Genomic DNA, 6,975 nt, shown 5'->3' on the forward strand with positions numbered 1-6,975 from the left:
GCTCTGTTCTCCTACTCTGCTTTGTATTTGGTCTTGTAGTTTCTTGTCATATTTGTCACTAACTGGCACTTTGTTTTTCTTTTATAATTTGTTTATCTGTGTCTTCTAATAGAATGTAATATCTATAACATGTAGAGATTTTATTCATTTGGTTTCACTGTTATATCCCCAACAAATAAAATCATTCCTGACACACAGTAGTTGATTCACTAATATTTATTGAATGAATTAATTACTTTCACGTTCAACCGTTAATTTTACTAACTCCTAAATTTCTACATCTTCTGTGATATATATGATCTTACTGTGCAGTCTGTTTATATTATATTTGTAAAATAACCAGAGTTTCTGACAATCAGAGATAGACTTAAGGTTTATAGCATGAGCTGTGATAGACACCCAATGTTAAACAGAGAGGGACATTTGAGTGGAGATCAATATAATTTACCAGATAAATAAAATTATTTTTTGGTCATTTCTAGGAAACTTACAATGCCAACTCACATTATGAATACTTAGATACTGGGGGTCCCTGCATTAATAATACAATCTAGCAATATATCAAAAATATTAAGCCCAAACTAAAATATTTTAATTTTAAAAATTCAAAGATAATTCAATATTATAAATGTGTCAATGCATTTTATCTCTTTAAATATTATAGAAGAAAAACAAAATAAGCTTATCTAACTGGACATTCAAAAAAGTATGCCCAAATAAATGAATAAATCTTAGTTCAAGGATGATAAAAATCAATATTGTAAAGACCTACTTCCTCCCCCAAGGTGTTCTATACATTCAATAGAATGGCAACGCTATTCAATTCAAGGCCATGCTATTCAAATCCCTACAGGAGTTTTTGTAGAGTTTGACAAAGTATTTCTAAAATTTGAGGAAGAGAAAATTAGTATTGAAAGGAAGATGATATTGATATAAATTACAAACTGGCCATTAGAACAGAAGAGAGTCCATGTGCATTTGGAAATTCAGTTAATGATAAAGTTGACATTTCAGAGGGAGACAACGGCTATACAGCCCTGAGTTGTGCAGTCCATATTGAGGTCCTTGTGAATAGTGCCCCTTTGTGAGGTGGGCCATACATTACCTGCAAGGTCACGCAGGGAAGCTGGCTTTTACGTCCTTAGAAAAAGAGTAAGCCAACCAATGAATAATTTGTGAACATTAAGCCATATCTTTGGAGAACAAATGAAATTGATTGAAACTTTAAACGTTTGCACAAATAAATAAAAGGTGGATCAAAGCACTCAGTCTTAAATAAGGACTTCAAAAAATGTTTAAAAATACATAAGAATATGGTTATAATGTTACTGTAAGGAAGCTGTCTTCAAAAAGACACCAAAAATCAAAATCAATAAAGAAAAGATTTGAAAAATTCAAGCGACTCGCCCTTACCTTCATTTATGGAGAAAATGATCTTGTAAACACATATTAAAAGATACACAAAATGCTGAGAAAAATATGTGCTGGGATATATTAAATTGTAGAAAATATGTGCAGAACATCTTCAAATATGTTTGAAAAACATACAACTTAAAAAATCCCACAGTTTAAACATGCTTTAAAGAAGGGAAAATACGACTTGTAAAGCAAAGAAAAAAAAAAAGATACTTAACAAAACTACTAATCAAGAACATTTAAATTATGAATTAATGTCTAAACATAAAATAGATTGGTATATTTTTTTAAATTAATGATGTCAGTCTGGACAAGTTGATAAAACATCTATATATCTATACTTTCGTATAAAATAATAGTGGATTTGAAATTTGATAAAGCATCATTTTATATTTGTACTAAAAGCACAAGATTTAAATTAGCTATCATGAGTCCATATTAAAAACAAAAACAAAACTGTAGAATGTGAATTATAGCTCTGTGTGCTACCCAGAAAAAAATTCAAGTCTTAATGTACTTCAAAGCAAATATTATACGATTAAAATGAAATACATTGATCCATGATTATTTTATATATATTCATTCTTTGGTTTGGTAGGTGAAGGTATACAAGATATGCAAGAGAGGCACTTATATCTATACCATTTAAAGTGCTTTATATCAAAATGTATTCTCAAGCCACTTATGTAATTTAAAATACAGACAGTCCTCTGCTTAATAGTGGTTCTGCTTATGACTTTTTTGTATTTTCAGATGGTGCAAAAGTGATATGCATTCATTAGAAACGGTACTTTGAGTACGCATACAGCCATTCTGTTTTTCACTTTCAGTAAAGTATTCAATAAATTATTTAAAATATTCAACACTTTATTATAAAATAGGCTTTCTGTTAGATGATTTTTCCCCAACTATAGGCTAATATAAGTGTTCTGAACATGTTTATGGTACACTAGGCTAAGCTATGATGTTTGGTAGGTTAGATGTGTTACATGGATTTTCGAATTAGGATATTTTCAATTTTCAATGGTTTAATGGGACATAACCCCATCATAAGTCCAGGAGCATCCACATATGAAACTGTAAAATTAAATTATGTAATTACTGTGTGAAATACCTTTTAAATCAATTTAATTTAATTTATTTAACTTTAGAGTTTTATTTTACTTTTTGTTTTCTCCAATAAATTACTTTTTAAATCAATTTAATTCTTCATTAATATTTTTTTCTGCCTTTCAATAGGCAAAGTCTGTGCAGGCAGGCCACCAGCACTGCCTTGGAGCTGGTGTTTCTATTTAATCTGGAATGAAGAGGCCTGGGCTAGTCTCTTCCTGCCAGTGTCGTAACAATGGTGCTCCCACCCTCATGGCTTTGCACAGCGCACTGTGCCATCTGGTACTAAGAAGAAGGCTTGTGAATTAAGTATCTATTATAAGAACAGTACTTTGAATCATTTTGAAAAATTGCTTTTGTAAGTTTGATTCGAGCTCTTCTAAACTGTGCTTATTTTGTGTTTAAAAGAAATTGCATATTTGCCATTTTGCGCTTTCTCACGTTACCTTCAAGTACCTATGAAACTCATTTTAGAATCTGCCTTTTACATGCCATGTGGTTCCTGACATGAAATAAAATATTAATGCCTTATATCTTACACTGTAAATAATTGATATTGTTGTCCCATGCACTCTAAGTGTGATAAGCCTTCAACTATGGCTGTTCTTTAATTCAAGCCATGTCTCTTCTCCTTGCATTTGAGAATATTTCAACATGAAAATAAAAGAGGAAATGTGATAAAAGCTATGTGTTTATTTGAATATTCATATTCTGCTGCAGATGTATGTGTACCTGGCTGCTGAGTTGCTTGAAACTTAACCATAGTTAGTGTCCCCTGTCTAAAATTGCCACAATTTAATATCGATTTTTTGTTTCTGAAGCCTCTTGTCCTCAGTAGCAAAACTTCAGACAAAATGTACCTATTTTCCAGAATGAGGATCCTGGCTGAACCAATTCTTTTCTCTCAGGTTAAATATACAATCTCTCAACAGTGCCTTATTTTGCTTGGTTTCATACATTTAATGTCTGGCCTACAGTATGAGAAGTAGAAGAAGAGGAAAGAGGCTAGACCAACAAAGACCAGAGAGGGAAGAGAGAGACCACGAAACATTTTTGCAACAAAATTCCAAATAAATTTTAGCTGTCAAGCAAACTTAACTGTGAAAAATTTAGCCATTTTTTAAAGAATTTCAAAAGATCAAATGAAAAGCTTACACTATTACATTGCTTGCTCCACAGCCATCTACTCACTGCATACATCCTCATGTCTCTACCCAGCACTGCACGTTCAGACACAGGTACCAGCTCCCACTGACAAAATTACATTGCACACTGACATACCACACATACTCTCAGCACAGACACATTTCTCTTCACTCATCATCAATGCATATGTATATATCTGCAGACTCACTGAACCTCATTTCATATTCCCGCAAACACCCTCACATACACACACACACACACACCCCATACCGCCTATTGTTCTGAACCAACTGTGACTCCAGTGGTCCTGCCGAATTTTATCAGGTAAAGACCAAAGGAAAGACTGCAGTATGAACTTGACAAAGGATGACAGAATGAAGAGAATAAGTAGAAGCTTTTCTTGCTTTCAGTTTTTCTCATCTCCTGATCATTCCCCAGTCTATGCTATCTAGATGTAATGGCAGTGCAGAGAGTGTTTCCATCAGGTTTAATTGTGTGGCCATGTATGTTTTCTCAACCCTTGTGAGAAAAGGAGGCATTCTTAGCTCTGAGCTGTTGCTGTTCACATTCCTGAGTCTGTAATGTCAGAGGCCAATTAAGAAGCTATGGGATCTGGAAGCCAAGTTTGCACTCTTAATCACAGCACTGCACTGTTTTTCAAGCAAAACTACTTCTATCACACACTTCTTTCTCAAAGCTTACCTTGACTCACAATTTAGTTTCCTGGGACTCATTAACATGTATTGTTTTGTGGCAGTCCTAAAATTCACCACTGTTTTCTCCTCCATTTAGCAGAGGAATCTTCAGCTTTGGATTGAATTACCAGGTAAAATATAACACACATCTAAATCTGAATTCTAAATAAATAATTAATATTTATGTAGTATAAGTGTAGCTCCCAAAATAAGTGGAACAAGCTTATTCTAAACATAGTTATTTATTTTAAATTCAAATTTAATTGAGCAGAGTGCATTTTTATTTGCTAAGTCTCACAACCTTAACTCTGAATAAGAAATGAGATAATTTAACAACAAAATAATAATTAAAATTAACATTAATTCAAAAATGCAAAAAGGAGTCAAAGAGAAAAAATATTAATCTACAATTAGGATTAAAATGGGAAACATATCGAGCTCCCAGATCTTGGTTTCTAATACCATTCTCCAACCAAAGGAACCAGAACTCCTTGGAGAAATGACTTACTCTATGACCGGAGCATAAACAAAAAAAGATAAGCCTGTAGCATCTTGCAGTACTCGAGTAAAAAGTGCTGAAACAAAAAACAAATAGAAAACAAAACCCACAATGAAGAGAAATTTCAAAGGAACACAAAAACCAATTAAAGAGCTCCCAGTGATCAAAACCAGAACAATTTGAGCTACAAGATAAATGAATTAGTTTTATATTATAATGTGAGATATAAAATAAATATCAATAAATTCATACTGATATAAATATATGAATGAATGGATGAATGAATGAATACATAAGAAAAGACAAATTATCCATGTAGAAATCCAAATAATTTATATAGATGCTACACCCACAAAGGAGTAGAATGTAACTCCACATGCCTTAAGCGTAAGTGGCATATAGTGACTTCCTTCCAAATAATATAGTATTATTATAACAGAGAAAATAAACAGTAACTTTACAGTGAAGGAGCCTGTAAAATTGTCATTCAGCCAGGTGATCAAGGTCAGCAACAGTGATAAACTATGTTGATACTATGTACACTTGATACGATCTGAAGAGAATGGCATTATCTTAATAGAGGATTATTCCACAAAATACTGACTGGTCCTCCTCAAAGTTCACAAGGTCATTTAAAACAAGAAAAATATGGGAAGCTGTCATAACAGCCCAGAGGAGCCTAAGGAGGCATGAAAACTAAATGTAATGTGACATCATGGTTGGGATCCTAAAACAGGAAAAGAATATTAGGGGGAAAAAGTCAAAGAACTCTGAATAAAGTACGGACTTTATATAAAAATGAGGTACCAATATTGGTGAGTGTAACACTATCATTGATTATAGCTAACATAACAAATATGTCATACATAGAGGAAACAGGGTGTAGGGTTTGTGGGTATTTCCTGTATAATCTTCATAATTTTTGTGTAAACTACTCTAAAAATTAAAGTTTACTAAAACGTTAAATTGCTAGTAGGCAGTCAAGAAAGACCTAATCACAAATCTCTTCCACCTAAAAAAGGCTTTTTAGAATAACTGAAAAAGTCACCCCAACAACACTTAATGTGTTTGAGAGGGAGCTTTGCATGGGATTCTGCCAACAACAAGGAAAGAAGGAAATCTCTGATCTGCACTTACTAACACTAGGGCTTTGACCTGCCCAAATGGGAAGAGAAATGATCGATATCCTTCATGCTCTGTCTCTGCCCTATGTCTTGAACAAATATGGTATGGATCATGGATGAGTTTCAGTAATTGTGATATAATTATGGCCAGGGAACAGGAAATGCCAAAGCAATAGGCTCCTTTTAATGGAGTTTCAGTAGAGGCTAAACATAGAAAGACCAACAAAGAAGAATCAAAGTGCTTCTTTCTTGAAAGATGCACACATCCTCAAATCATGATGTAGAGCTTTCATAAAGTGATTTGTGTGATACATTGTGCGCTTCTGATCTGACCACCCATTTCTCCTATCAGTCTAAGACATGTGAATTTTCTCATCCTCTTGGTCATCAGATGAAGAAAGGAAGTAGAGGAGGAAATGAACACAAAATCATTATGCTTCAGAGAGACTGAAGTCTTAGCTCAACCAGCTATATGGCTGCTGAGAACTAAGAAGATCCTGAGAAGTGGTGGAGACAGAGGCAGAGTGTCTACACTCTCTCTTTAAGGCCCAATAGCCATGCCTACTACTAAACACAATCCAGTGAGTGTTTCAGACTTAGACCAATCCAATTAGAAACTTCTCCCCTCGAGGTGACCTATGAGGAAGTGGGCAGAAGTTGGCCTAAGATGGAGAGAGCCTAGAAATTCTCTTCCTATCATAAAAGGATAGAAAAAGACTATACTCACAAAGAGTTTACACATTTCTCCGAGGTTAGATTATTTATTTTTAGTTGAAAGAACCCTTGTTTCTGTATTAGAGAACTCTAGGATCTCAGAAATAGAAAGAATTCTGAATACCTCCACTGGGTGAGGCAATGAATTATAGTTAGGTCATAGATTTTTGAAATGGGAAGAGTCACAAGTCAGTACCTGGAGAGAGGTGTAATCAATCAAAACAGACACTGCACTTTCAATGACGTATTTGTTTGATAGTGCTAACATATC

The sequence above is a fragment of the Homo sapiens genome, chromosome 8 (assembly GCF_000001405.40).
Source record: "Homo sapiens chromosome 8, GRCh38.p14 Primary Assembly".
NCBI lineage: Eukaryota > Metazoa > Chordata > Mammalia > Primates > Hominidae > Homo > Homo sapiens.